General features: G+C 37.4%; 1 protein-coding gene across 2 annotated transcripts in view; it reads left to right on the top strand.

Annotated features, from left to right (window-relative positions):
* ERCC6 (ERCC excision repair 6, chromatin remodeling factor) overlaps positions 1 to 15,618 on the top strand; it is a 104,658-nt gene that overhangs the window by 25,834 nt on the left and 63,206 nt on the right. For both annotated transcript variants that reach the window (NM_001346440.2, NM_000124.4), the window contains exons 6-7: positions 7,693 to 7,821; positions 13,009 to 13,167. In NM_001346440.2, coding sequence (NP_001333369.1) covers positions 7,693 to 7,821; positions 13,009 to 13,167 — 288 coding nt within the window. The remainder of the gene's footprint in view (positions 1 to 7,692; positions 7,822 to 13,008; positions 13,168 to 15,618) is intronic.

Here is a 15,618-nt window from a genome sequence, read left to right as displayed (position 1 = left end):
GATAGTTAGTTTTCATGAGAGCTTATGGTTTTAAAAGTGGAAGTTTTTCCTGTGCTTGCACTCACTTCCTCCTGCCGCCTTGTGAAGAAGGTGCCCTTCACCTTCCACCATGATTATAAGTTTCCTGAGGCCTCCCAGCCGTGCCGAATTGTGAGTCAATTAAACCTCTTTCCTTATAAATTACCCAGTCTCGGGTATTTCTTTATAGCAGTGAAAATGGACTCATACAATATAGTATCTCCCTTATTAGGTTGTAAAGATTAAATGAATTAATAAATGTGAAATACTTAAAATAGTGCCCAGTACCCAGTATCACTGTCAGTCATAATTACTATTTGTTTTCTGACCCAATTAAGAAATATGTATGTATGTGTGTATATGTAATCTCAAAACAAAACTTGTCCAGAGCTAGCTGACTTTCCTTAAGGAGGCAGTATATAGCATAGGGGTTAGACACCACGGGCCATGGAGTGAGTGCCAGAGCCTAGCCGAGTAGCTCTGAGGTCTTGTGTATCCACTCACCTGTAAGATGGGGATCACAGCAGTACCTTCTTCATGGGTGATGATATGTATAAGATATTTGGCATACATCAGGCACTCCGTAAGTATTAGCTATTCTTGTTACATGCCCACTAGCTAAAAGTTACCACAAAGATTCCACCAAGGCAGTAAGATGCTTGAAATGAGGGTCTGTGAGAACCGTGAAGGAGGGTGTATAATGAATACTCATACGTATGAAAAGGTGACCTTTCACAAGTAAAGGCAGTTTAACAATTGATATTACAGGTTGACCATCCCTAGTCCGAAAATCCAAAATCTGAAAATTTTTTAGCAACGTGATGCCACAAGTGGAAAATTCCATATTTGACCTCATATGTTGGGTCTCAGTCAAGACACAGTCAAAACTTCGTTTCATGCACAAAATATTGTATAAAATTACCTTCAGCCTATGTGTATAAGTTATATATGAAACATAAATGAATTCGTATTTAGTCTTGGGTCCCATCCCAACATATCTCATTGTGTATATGCAAATATTCCAAAATCCAAAACACTTCTTGTCCCAAGCATTTTGGATAAGGGCTGTTCAACGTATCATAGGCATAGTAAAATCATTAGCTGTTACAAACTTTGTTTTATTGATGTTATGCTTTTGGTACCTTTCATACTTTTTTAAAATAAGCTTAAGGCCCACTTAATGATAAAATATCTATAAAAATATAAGTACAGTATCAATATTGGGAAGAAATGTAATTATTTCTCCTTTGAACACACTAGGGGGCACTAGACATCTGTCTAGGGGACAAACCGTGCAACATGCCCCTTGGTTCTAAGTGTAGGTAGGTCAGGATTGCAGTATGGTTTCTCACAGTTGTATTCTGAGGTAGATGTACCAGATCCTTCTCTTGTATCTCTTTTGTGTCTTCTCTTTTGGCTTGATTTCCAGCCTCCTTGCTGTCCTGGATGATAGGATGTCCTGACTGGAATGTCCTGCTGATCTTGACTGACCAGTATGGAGTGAGCTAGCATGACAGTCTGCTATGCTTGGGGGTTGAACTGAGCTCCTGCTGGCTCAAGACTGCAATAGGTGTTTTGACATTTGTTATTTTTTATTCACATTTAACCTGCAATTAATTAAAATTTCTCAATCTTTTTGTGTAATCTGCCAACTGTTATAGCATCTGAAATTTATGTAGTTTCAAAAGTATAATGTACATACATAATTTCATTTAGTCCTCATAAAAAGTCATTATTTGGCTCATTTTGTGGTGGAGGAGGCAGATTCAACAATGTTACATTATATTTTCTAAAGTTCAGGCCTCCCCTTACCAGTTAAATGCCTGTAATGCACCTCTTTTGCCTACATTCGGTTTTCACTTCTCTGTGGTTATCTTAAATCTGTGTCTGTTGTTGGGTTCTCTTCTAGTGACCACCACTGGAGCCTGAGACGGGCTTTAGGAGTTAGAAAATGCCCTGATGGGTCGGGAATGGTGGCTCACGCCTGCAATCCTAGCACTTTGGAAGGCAAGGCAGGCAGATCACTTGAGGTCAGTAGTCTGAGACCAGCTTGGCCAATATGGCAAAACCCCATCTACACCAAAAAATACAAAACTTAGCCGGACATGGTGGCGCATGCCTGTAGTCCTAGCTATTCTGGAGGCTGAGGCACAAGGATTGCTTGAATCTGGAAAGTGGAGGTTGCAGTGAGCTGAGATCGTGCCACTGTACTCCAGCTGACGTGACAGAGTGAGACTTTGTCTCAAAAAAAAAAAAAAAGTAAAAAAGAAGATGAACAACACACTTACTTTATTTGGGTGCAGCTGTGACTTTTACATGTATAGATTAAAGAAAAAAATGAAAGTGGGAACATCAAAAACACTATTTCCTTCCTAGTAATGTAAATATAGTTTAAGTCTAGACTTTTTTCCCATCATAAGAATTCTTTCATAAGAAGGTGCTTCTTTTGTCCAGCCTTTCCCACCTGGTCCTGGGGAAGCTTGGGAGCAAACTCAGGGCTCCTGGTTCTTTCCATCAGCTGGCGTGCAGAAACCAGGCTCCTTACAGAGGAGACCTACTGGTGATGAACCCAAAAAATGGAGCTCAGACTTAAATCACTCACACAATTTTTATTTATTTACCTTTTTATTGTTCAAAATGATGAGCTTTCCTTCTCCTTATCTTTTTTTTTTTTTGTTATAAGATTCTAAATTAAGAACTTCTCTGATGTTGCAGCCACCCTCATTATGGGTCATTTTTTTGTAGCGAACCTTAACCATTTTTATCCAGTGGACAGAGCTAGGAGCAGTGCTTTAAAGTCATATGGGTAGAAGGAGTAGGAAATGCAGCAAGAGGTAGGCTCTAAATGAGACAGAACAGAAAGTTTCCAGAACCCATTTCTGGATGACCCCATTTGACCATTTTCAAGTCACGCTTCTCTGTCTGTGTCTTCCTTTTCCCTAACCGAATTATGAACTTCATTCATTCATTCAGCACTTAACGGTCTGCCATGAGGAGGCATTATACCAGTCTCTAGTGCTATAAAAATGGCTAAGACAGTGTTTGTCCCCAGGTGGCTTCCAGTCCAGTGGAGGACACTGGTATGGATTTCACAATATGCTACACTTGATGGGCACTGTAGTAGAGATCCCAGGTGTGTCCAAGATGTCACGGGATTGGGAGGGCCCTTGGAAGACAGGACACCTAAGTCTGGCTGGTCATGGGAGGTTTCTGTGCATGGTGGTGCTGCATGAGTGAGGGTTTGAAAGGTCTGCTGAATGTGTGGATATGTAAGGGGAAGGATTTGGGGACAGTACAGGAATGCAGGTGCACAGAGATGAGGAGGCTGCATACATGGTATGGCACGGTGGTAGCTAGCTGTGTCTTTCCACTTATTTATTTTGAACATCCTTGGAATGCTGAAAATTCTTCTAAAATAAATTAACTTTAAATGGCAGCAACTAGCTTTCAGGGTTCCATTGATGCGGCACCCTAATAGGTTACAACTGGGGGAAGCATTGTTCCTGGTGTCGTTCAACTGGTTGTGCTGGGTCTGAGTTGCTTCTGACAGATGATTATTGCAGTCTCAGCCCCAGGCCCCACAGCCTGGGCCAGATTCTCATTCCTACCTGAATGTAGGGAAACCAGGGAGTGTTTTCTCTGTCTGCATCTGACTGGAATTGTAGGTTTATGTTTGTTCCCAGCTTCTCTTGTAATTGGCTGCCAGTGGAGTTGACAGCAGGCTGAATCTGGCAGTTGTGTGAGGAGCTAGAAACACAGCCAGTGAACACCATGCCCACCACTTCGTTTTATGTGGCTGCAGCTGTGACTATTACGTGTGTGGATTTTTTAAAATGAGAGAATAGAGAACATGAAAAAGTTATTTGTTTTCTAAAAGGGTAAATATTGGACTATTTACTGCCCCCTTCTGCTTTTTCTCAGTTAACTGGTCTACTTTTTGAAATAACAGAATTTAGACATTTTGAGGTCATTTCTAATTTTTAAGATTTCAGCTCACTTGGCCCAGATTTTAATTCTTACCCACTCCCTACCAATTTTAAGTCAATCTGTATCTATTTTTGTTACTATCATGTAAAAGACTGCCATACTTAATGACAGTTTACTATTTACAAATTTGTGACAGAATTTTTAAATTGAGATATTCCAGCAGGTACCATCTGAAGACTAGGTATCTTTACTCCTATGGTGAGCACATTATTCATAATAATTAACTGAGCATCCATTTGATGAGCTATCATAGTTTCTGTTTAAGTATACATGTTCAGGTAGTTCTGTTAAACAGAGTACGTTGCAATATGCACATTGCATTGGGCCACATACGTAACTTGCTTTCTCTTCTTTCAGTGAACATAGTAATAGTATCTGCTGCAGGGTTGTCGTGAGGATTTCAGAAAATGTATGTGGTTTTATATAATACTATAGTAGTTTATTAAGCACTTCCTAATCTAGGTTCTGTGCTAAGGTGCTTTATATGTGACACCTTATTTAATCCTTCCCAGAACCCAGTGAAGTAGGTGCTGCTGTTCTCCCCATCTCAGTGGAGGAAACTTAGATGCTGATGAAGTTAAGTTACTTGCTGAGGGTTCATGAGCTAGTAAATGGCACCAGGATTTGACTATAGCTAGTCTGAGCTCAGACTTTTGTGCCTGGGCCTGCACTTCTGCATATGTCAAACCCAGGATGTTTATATACAGAATCCTTTATATCTGCTGGCCAGACAGACTACTCAGCCTGCCAGACTACAGTACAGGCTGGTTAGACATGTTAAAGAGAGCCCTTAAAGTCTCTTGGCAGCGTCTGGGATGAGGAAGGCACGTTTCTGTGTATGTGCAGATGAACCTGGTTCTCCCCCTTTCCCTAGTGTGTTGTGGTGTACTTGTCGGCCCCATCTTTAGCTGTGCTGCTTCAGTGGACCCTCATCAGATGGTCAGGTCTATTTTGGCTACAAGTCACATGAGGAAGTATTGCTTATGTAACAGAAGAATCTCTTCGCCTGAGCTCTGTATGCATGTGGTTTTATAACCATGATATTTTCTGTCTTTAATATGTGTATAATTCTACTGGGGCAATTTGTCTTCACAATGATACAAATACTTGCAGGCAATAATGATTTTCCCCACCACTTTTAGTCATCCTTTAGCCAAACTGAATAAATGTTTGGCCCTTTTCATCTTTCTTTATGAAGCGGAAGGCACTAGAATGCAATCGTTTCTGTAGTGGCTTATGTGGTTTCCTAGGTGCTGAGTTCTGTGGCGACAAGATGCCTGTATATTTTAGGAGGGAGGGAGGAGGAGGAAACTGAATCTTGTCGATGCAGAGTGATGTGGTGGGAAATTTAGCAGCCACAAAGATTGACTGGCTAAGTCTAAGGAAATGGTCATCATATATCAATAAAGTTTAAAAAGTGATACCCTGTATATAAAATATTTAATGGCCTTGTGCCAAACTTCAAAAGGCAATATATTCTGGTGTTTTTATTTCTCCTTCTGTAAAATTATCTTGGAGAAATTGCAAAGTGAAGTATGTTTAAGTGGCTGTGATTCTTCCAAGGTTTATGTTATCCACAAGTTTGCTAAATACAAGTATCCTTTGTTATGCAGAAGTTTGGCTCTGCGTTCATAGTTTTGATACCGAGGACTCTCTCATTATGTAAACTCCTCGACTGCTGAATTTCAGAGTGAGTAGCAAGAATTCAGATATGTGTATCAGGAAAGTGTATATATATCAAGAATTCAGATATGTGTATCAGGAAAGTGTATATATATCTGTTCAGTTTCTAAGTTTTGATAGTAAGGGATACCTATATGCCAGGGCTTCTTGGCTTTGACATTATTGACATTTGAGACTTGATAACTTTTTACCGAGGGGTTTGGGGGCTGTCCTGTGTGGTGTAGGATGTTTAGCAGCATACCTGGACTCACCTGCAAGATGCCAGTAGTAGTATATCCTCCCGACTCCTTCCACAGTTCTAACAACCAAGAATATCTCTGGGCATTGTCAGATTACCCCAGGGTGGGGTTGAAGGGACAGAATTGCCCCCTGTCAAGAACGATTGTTGTACACCATTGCATTTAACTAAATTTGTAAATAACATGAAACCCAGAAGACTTTTATAGCCACCTAGAGATAATTCATTTTGTCCATTGCATGGAGATAATTTTTAAGGAAAAAAAATACCAGTGGAGAAGAAGAGATTGCCTTTAGAAGTTAAGCACAAAAAGGACATTAAATTTTTTTATAAAAAGTATCACTTATTAAACTGTTGTTAGATGATAGCTATTTCCTTAGACTTGGCCATATACTGCCTCTTCCATTTGCTGTTCTTCTCTGGAAATGACCAACAGTGCTTCATTGATCTTATTTATAGGTCCTTTACTACCGTGTAGTGCAATTTCAGATAACCAGTTCTTGTTGATCACAAGTAAATTTCAGCTAGCCCTTCCTTTTGTTACCTTGAAGAGTTGAAATTTTCAACAAGGCAAGAGTTTATCAGAGGATGTGCTTTAAGGTCCACCAGTAGCTACCTACATACTAGCATTGGGCTCTGTGTGGTTTTGTAATGGATACTGGACAACACACCATACCTTTGGCCAGGCAGCATGTGTAGTATTACCCTTTCATTTTCTCTTGCCTTCCCTCGGACATTCTCTCTTACTCTTGCATAGTCAGTGGCAGATAAATGCCTTATATGTGTTGCTGCTCTTACTCGCTTCCTATGAGTTTTTTTTTTATTGTAGTTTGAAAGCATTTCTCTGTATTATTGTTTTATTCCATTTCCACCATTTTGTGAAATTCAGAGCATCAGTTGCACCATGCTGAATGAAAACATCATCTTTTTATTTTGAAAGTGAATAGAATTTGAGGCTTTTTTTTTTTCCCCACTCACGACAACTAGAGTCCATTATAGTTATGTAAATGCAAAATTAGTCTGGTTAAATGGGTGCACCTTCTCCACAACCTTGGTGTATTGCTAAGACTTTCAGATATTTAGATGAAATATATTTCCTTCTGAAATATAAGTGTTCACCTTATTTTATATCTGAAAGTATCATATTACTAAATTTGTAACTTAGATTTTATTCAGTGAACACATTTTTTTGAGTGGTAGCACTATCAGTGCTTGTATATTGCTGATGCCTCTTCCCCCAGTTAAGTAATCAGTAATGTGAACCTGATTCAGTGATTTTGACCCCAAATTTGCTTTATGTTTAAGGGGCTTTGTTGTTTTATGCTGTGACTATCATATCTTTAGAACAGAAATAGTAATTATAAATCTATTTTTTGTTACATAGTATTGCGGTTGTGAAGACACTCAATTATATTGAAATTTTTACTGAATCTTTTCTAGGACTAATTTCATGTCTTACGAACCAGCAGAGAAATTTTCCCTTAGGGTATGCCAGAAGAGGAGCAAGTAGTTTTGATAATGAAATGAGACCTTAAAGAAATATTTCTAGAGCAGCTATAATAATTTACATAAGAAATGAATTGAGATGGCTGGAGAAGAGAATTGTTTTTCCTCTTTGAATATCAGTGTTTTGGGTAATAATGGCAGCATTAACCTAAGAGACCGTTCTAATTTGCCTGTTTTTTCTTGTACATTATCAGGAGCTATCTTTTTAAATCTGTCTTGTGATCAAAATAATGGAAATGTGATTTTTATTTTCATGGTAGGAGATGGAATAAACTGAGACTGCAGGACAAAGAGAAACGTCTGAAGCTGGAGGACGATTCTGAGGAAAGTGATGCTGAATTTGACGAAGGTTTTAAAGTGCCAGGTTTTCTGTTCAAAAAGCTTTTTAAGTATGTACCATATGTTCTTTCCTTTCTATTTGCTATCAAGCCATTATGTACAAATTAACATTTTAGGAATTACATAGTAGTTACCTGTGGGCCCTGAAGGTACTTGCAGCAATTTGTTGCAAAAACAGATACTGTCAAATGAAATTATAGCCACGTGCTGTTCATTAAAATTGGATGATAATAAGTTGACTAAAATGTGCATTGGGTATGTTTGTAAACTGATGAATCTATATGGACCTGCCTCAGCAGACTAAAAGCAACACATTTAAAAGCCATTTATGTTGAATAATTTTTTTGTTCTTAGTAATTTTAAGGTGCCAAACTCCTAATTTCTTAAATAAGATTAATAGGAAGAGTTGCATATTAAAATCAATATTGGGAAGGATTTTTTTTCTTCTATGTGGAAATAAAAAACTTTTGACATTTTTTTTGAGTGTCTTATATTGTACCTGAGGGTATAATATTTTTGAGCTGACCAAATGTGCATCTAAATATTTTATGTAGGATGTCATTCTAATGTCAAAAGAGAAGATATGGGCAACACCTTGATGATTAAGTTGCTATTTGAAGCCAGGTTTCATGTGTAAGTGGCCAAGCATTGGAGATGACCGGATGCTGCCTGATAGATGTGTTCATGTTGTCTCTAAGGGCTGGCCAGTCTCCCGTGATGAATGTAAATACTGAGGAACATTTTCAGTCTCGTCACTCCTGGGATTTACTTAACAAGATACTTTAGGAAGGCTTCTTAGATGCATATAGGAAGTTAAACCATTACATAGCTTCTTTCTGTCTCTTTTGTATAATCAATTTGTAGTTGGGAGCAGGATGCAAAGTTCTTTGTTCGAGATGATTAAGTTTGGTCTCCTTTATAGATTCAGCTGTCAGCCATGCCCTAAACTTGTGGAAGAAGTCTACTTAAAAACAGCATGCTCTTTATATTTTCTCTCAAAGAGCTTATATTATAGTTTTAATTTTTCTCTCCATTGGGGTAGGGGAGAGTGAAGAGTAGTTTTTTTATCCCACTAAACATTATAGAAAGCCAAACTCTAAAGATGTGAAGTGACTTGATGTGATTGCTTTAACTGGACAGAGGAACAGCCGTGTAGAAGTTGAAATCTGAATCTGTAGTAATATTTACAGAGGTGGTTGCTTTGTTTATTGCTTCTCCCAAATGAGAATTAACTATGGAAAGGTAAATAAAGGCCACTTTTATTGGCAACTCTTTTTGTTTTCTCTACAGTGATTCTTTGTTAAGAAACAAGCCAAATACCATCAGTGTTGTACTAGCAAAAGGAATACCCAAATTATAGATTAAATTGATTTAAAAAAGACAGGATACTTCTGTGTATTTGTAGTAAGTGATTTGGCAGATATCCTCAAGGATCAAGTTGAGTCTGCATTTTTGTATAAATGTCAGATTTTCTAGCAAAGATATTTCACAATTAATAGTACTAAACTTTGCTTACTAAAAGTATTTAGGATTCAGTGTATTAACAAAACTCTATAGTAGTTAATATAAATAATATTCGTTTTTTAAAAATTAGTCTTAATTGCACATTCCTGGAAAGTATTGTGTTTTTTTAATCTCTGCAAAAACAGGATTTTAAATATTTTATGTCATAAAACTTCTGTTCATTTTCTTTTGCTGTATGAAAAAAATTAATAGGATTGATAGAGTCTCCATTTTTCTTTTATGATTGCGTTTTAGCGGGGCCAATTTAATTTTAAACTGTAGATATATTTTTTTACTGTATTTGCTGCATTCTGTGGAATTGAATTGACAGGGTATAGAGTTGTACACAAGGGAGTCAGAAGGTACAATTAGCCATTTAAGTACATTTTCTGCAAGATAGTGTTTAACTTTTAAATTTCTGTTTTGAAAGTTTGCCCAGCAAGTATATTTGTCTATCTAATTTAGCAGTCAAATGACAAACTTCAATCTTTTGACCTTATTTTCAGCCACACTAGTAAATGCAATCTTGGGTTAGTGTGGCAATGCCAATGTACACCAATTATTTGTGGTCACATTGTGATGCCTCAGTCTCAAGGGATAGCAGAATAAATTTTTTTATGTTGTATATTCATAAAAATCTTTAACTGTCCCTAAAGAGTAATTTTTATATGCTTTTCAAAAATTTTGAAAACTAGATTCTATAATATGTTTTTATTTAAACTATGTAATTGGTTTACACTGTTTATTATTAGGAAGGTAAAGCAATAAAACCAAAGTCAGTTAGTGGCACAGCTGAAACCTGAGCTCAGGCCCTTATATTCCTCATCTAGCAACACCAGCTATGTATATCATCTACCAGCTGTGTGGCTAGTGCTTTTAATCTGCAAGTGAATTTCCTTTAAATACCATCTGAGGGCCTTCGTGTATTGTGTGGAAAGAAAGAGCCACTCTTTGCTATCTTTGTAACTATCCCTAGTTTTTGGGGATCCTGCTAGAGATATGACTTACATGCTGCCTAGTAAGATTTTTTTTAATGTCATTTTCTTAGTGCTGTTCATCTTCTTGTAAACACACTCACATGCTGTTTGAAAGCCGTCGAAGATTAGATTTGTAGATGAGGAAACACCCAGCACATTGTATGCTGCCTTTCCTGGGCCACACAGAATCTAGTTGTCTTAACCCCCTCTCAGGTTCCTTTTGGGATCCTATGCTGTTTACCATTTCTTTAATAATTTCTCAACTGCTCCTTTCCGCACTCTCCCTACTTTAGTTAAGTTGATGAGCCCCAAGCAAAAAGAGTTGTTGGACCCATGTAGGATGGAGGCAGTGTGGTGTAGGAGTAATACACTAGAATAATCACTGGGAGATTTTGTTCCCCGACTGGAGGAGCTGGTCCAGTTGTTCTGTATCTCAGCAAAAAGAGGTCAACTGACTAGAATGTAGTGATTCTGGAAACTAATTGCACATCAGTTTTTTTGGAGAGCTTTTTGCAGTGTGTCTTTTTCAAAAGTTGAGATTATTCTAGTGTAGCCAGTTCATGAACCAGCTTTTGTTCTAAATGAGGGTTTCTCGACCTTGACACAATTGACACTTAGGGCTAAATAATTTGTTGCTGTGGGGACTGTCCTGTGCAGTATCAGATATTGAACAGCTTCTCTGGCCTCTACTATTGCACTTCTCTGGTTGTAACAAAAATGTCTTTAGACATTGCCAAATGTCCCATAGGGAGAAGAATTACCCCTGGCTGAGAACTATTGGTCTAGATCATTTCCAGAATCACTTTGGAAACATACAGTTCTGGATTTCAGCTCTGGCTTGCTCATTTTTTTCTAGCGATGTCACCTTTGGCAAGTTACCTAACCATTCTGAGCTTTTGTTTCCTAATTATAAAGTGTGCTGATAATCTCCTTTGTGCAAGTTGATTGTGAGGCTGTGTCCAAACCACCTGGCCTGGTGCCTCCTCAGCAGTTGGTTCCTTAAGTGGTAGCCATTATTCTCTGATTACATACCACATATTTTCGGAATTTGTCCTTCTTCCCAAATTAAATGATCTTGTATCTGTACTACACTTCATCGTGTTTTGATTTTTAGTTCTTTTCTCCAAGGTGCATATCCAGTGTGTGTATTATAATTAGCAAACTTAATAAGCAGCAAAGTTCTCATTTAGAGTTTTCCTTATGTAATAGGTAATAATGGAACAGCTAGAGTCAAACTTCTAGAATTGCTTTGCAAAATACTGGGAGAAAGTTAATTATGACGTATTTACTGAGAGGAGATTAAATAAAACCAGTTAAATGAGCTGAAGTCCAAAATGAGATTTTAGGTAGACATACCTATAGGTACCAGATAGTAAGTATTTGGACAGCAAAACAACAAAACTATCTTCTTTTAAGGTGGGTAGCCCATCAGCCTTGATATTTTCTTTGAAAAAAAAATGCCTTATCTTGCATCATCTTTTTATTTATTTATTAGAGATGGGGTCTCACTCTGTTGCCCAGTTTGGAATCCGGTGGTGCAATCATGGTTCATTGCAGCCTCAACCTCCATGGCTCAAGCAATCCTCTCACCTTAGCCTCCCAAGTAGCTAGGACTACAGGCACGTGCCACCACTCCTGGCTAAATTTTTTTTTTTTTTCTTGTAGAGATGAGGTCTTACTATGTTGCCCATGCTGGTCTTGAACTCCTGGGCTTAAATGATCCTCCTGCCTCGGCTTCCCAAAGTGCTGGGATTTACAGGCATGAGCCACCTCATCTAACCTATCATCTTTTAATTCAAGTGGTTTTTGCTTTAGATTTTGTAACTTGGGATATAATCTTCATACCATTCCCTGTTGTTAAGTGTTTCTTCCACTCTCCGAAAATTTTTTTGTATTTTTCCTTTTTTAACTTTATTTTTAGGTTATAGATTAAACATATCATTGATGGAGAAAGAAAAATATCAACTTCTGTTTTTTGCAGGGGGAGGGGTTAAGGTTAAATTATTTCTCTTTGACCCATATTCCTTATTTAAAATCTTAATAGCTATGATCTTTTCGTACCTTTGGTAAACTCCCTGAATCAATTTCTGCTTTGAAATATTAAAAAGACCTTTTGTATTGTTGAGTCTTTAAACTGTGCTTTTTTTTGCATCTGCTAGTAATATGACAGAATCATCTGTTATGTTCTAATTTTGAGAGCAGACCTATTATTCAGACTTGTTTATGGCCTTAAAATTTAATTTTTTCTATTAAAAGATAATATGATCACCAAGTGACTTTTCAACAGTATAAGCTATAGGTTGTGGTGTTCTCTGTCCTGCTTTTTTGATGCTATTCAGATTGAAAAAATAAACATTAGTGCCCCTTTTTTATAGAAAAATTAATGGAACTTTATATATGAAAAATATTTGGGATTTTTTCCCCCAGAAAGTGAGTAAAAAATAGTAAGTTTATGCTTGTTTAGCAAGCTATTTCTAATGTTGAAAAGAAAGGAAATAGTCTCTAATTACCCCATCTATCAGTTTAATTAGAAATGTGTTAATGTTTTGTAAAGAAAAATTTGTGATTTTTATGCCTAGGTGATCAAAAATGTATGACCTTATAAATATAATACTCATGTAAAACACACATCCCGCATGTTTCTCTGACTGGTACTAGAACCTAGCCAAATGATTAATTCATGAGTACTTTCTGTTATGATCTGTATTATCCACCATTTGCCATTTTCTCTTTTCTTGTTGGTGTTTGTTGTCATAGGTACCAGCAGACAGGTGTTAGGTGGCTGTGGGAATTGCACTGCCAGCAGGCAGGAGGAATTCTGGGAGATGAAATGGGATTGGGCAAGACCATCCAGATAATTGCCTTCTTGGCAGGTCTGAGCTACAGCAAGATCAGGACTCGTGGTTCAAATTACAGGCAAGTGCTCCTCTGCAGACTGTCAGTCTGTGGAGCTCAATTAATATTTCATCAGATGTATTGCTGTGGAGGAGGGTCTTGTGAATTATTGATGACATTTCAATTACAATATTCCTTTAATTCTTTTAGTGGGGGACATCAAAGGAAAAATTTTACGAGACAATGGAGCTGTAGGGCAGGAGAAATTAAACATGTAACACTTTTAATGAATTCCAGGCATTGATGCTTCATTTTGCAGATGAGCCCCACTAGATATTTTGGGTCAATACGATGTCTAAGGTTAGCTTCTACAAAGGGATTGTTTACAAACTCAATTATGTTAATATCAATAGTTTACACAATATGGAATTTTAAATTAGACATAATACCTTTAGTTCCATTTATTAAATTTTACATTAAAATATTTGTTCTGGCAGGAGACCAGGTGAGCATTACAGTAAGTACAAAGTCTATTCATGGGGAGAGTTGGAGCTTTGAAGAAGCCATTCTCCCTAATTTCCTTTATAATGAGTGTGCATGATAGCATTTCTAGATAGCTTGCTCTCTCTCTTGTTTTTGAATGAAGTTACTTGTCTGATCCCTGTGTTTTCTGCCCTTCCCAATCTATGAACTTTATGTAATAAATTCTAATGCCAAAACGTAAGTGACTACCTAAAATGGTAGAAAACTATGTTTAGATGTTAATCTTTATTCTCTTTAGAAATTTAAATAAACTATTAAGGCTTTTGTATTCCAGAAGAATAAGCATTTAATCTATTTGATATGGTAGGACTGAAATACTTTATTTTGAAAGAAAGTACTATGAGCACTTCCATATTTAAACTGTAAATTGACTCTGTAGAAATCAGTATTGGTAAAAATATTGGTCGGTAAATTATGTAGGATATTTCATCATACTGAACCCAGATAAGTCCGAGCTCCTTGTGTTTCAGTAGGCTTATATAAAGAGTAAGAGCAAGGTAGTTGCTAGAGGGGTGTGCCCAGGAAACCTCAGACACTCCCTATATATGATTTGGAGATAACCTTTACAGTAGTGTCAGTGTGCCTGAAGTCAGCAACTGCCGAAAGTTCTTCCTACTCTCCAGCTCATCAGCAGCGAAATGCTTAGTAGAGAGCCAAATATGAACCATAAACTGAGTCAAGATCATGTTTCTTTAGTCTCCAGAGTTTAGTGTTTTATTTCTTACTCTTTCGTTAAGTTAGCAGATCAATACTTCTGTGAGGAGTGTTTGGAGTTTTAGAATATTTTAGAACGCCAGTTGCATTTATATAGATGTAGGAAGGGGAAGAAAACACTTGGAGATTTTTAAATGCTAAACATCGTGTTGTTGTTGTTACAAGGAAGTTATATTGAAGCAGGGGATTTTTTCAAAGATGAGAATTCTATTACATTTTGCTTGGAAGCATGTGAAAACATTCCAGACCAAAGGAAAAGTTGAAGTTCCAAGTGGGCATTTAGTGTGGTCTTATCTATGACTGTTAATTTTTTTAATATGCTTTTTCTGTTTCAAATAAAATGCTTTTTCTGTTTCAAATAAGCTCTTTGGTTGGCTTGTTTTCTGCAACTCTGTTGGGTGTTTTTGGTAACTAGACAACCCCAAACTCCTCCAAATGGTTTCTAGGACTCTTTCTTTCCTTAAATGGTTTCTGGGATTTTCTTATTTCCCATTTCATTTCTTTTCTTTGCTTCCCTTCCTATTATCATCACACTTATGTGGAGTCCAGTGCTCAGGTCCTAGGAGAACTAAAGTCATCCCTGCAGTGTAGTTTTGATCTAAAAATTAAAACATGCTCTCTTGGGTGGTGACAATCCTACTAAGAATGAAGTCAAGGCTAATAATGAACAGCAGCTGTAATCAATTAACTATCAATGCTCATATCCTCTTCTCTATAATGAAATAATGTGGCATATTGGACTACATCCCAGATTGTCTTTATTAAGATGGTATTGGTGGAAGTGGCTTGTGAGAATGTGGTGCTGCACCACAAACACCTGGGCTCCTCATGAGTGGAAGTTTACAGAGGAGTGTGGTCCCCCCCGCTCATATGTACCAGGGCGGACTGGACCACATCTTCCTAACAACTTTATAACACATCCTCCTCTGGAACCAGATGAACTTGGGAGTTCTCTATACTTATGTCTTACAGAAAAATAGCTCTTAAGGTCAAATGAAGTTCTGTGTGAGCTGTTATTGCCTCATTGGCTATGTATATTTCCTGTGAACTCTTACAAACTGTAGAGGGGCCCTAATTTGAGATGATTTTGGTGTTGTAATTTTAAGGACCATGAACATTGAAATGGGAACAGTGTCTCTGTGATACCAAGAAACTTCATGGTAAAAGAAGTTTGATTTGTTATTTTTTAAAAAATGTGTGTTGTATGTGTGTTTCTAGAAGACAGAGAAACATATTGCTTATGGTTAATAAACATCTGTACTGGTTGCTGTGTTC

Source organism: Homo sapiens, chromosome 10, assembly GCF_000001405.40.
Source record: "Homo sapiens chromosome 10, GRCh38.p14 Primary Assembly".
NCBI lineage: Eukaryota > Metazoa > Chordata > Mammalia > Primates > Hominidae > Homo > Homo sapiens.
Note: the sequence above shows the minus strand (reverse complement) of the source record. Positions and strands in the feature narration are given on the sequence as shown.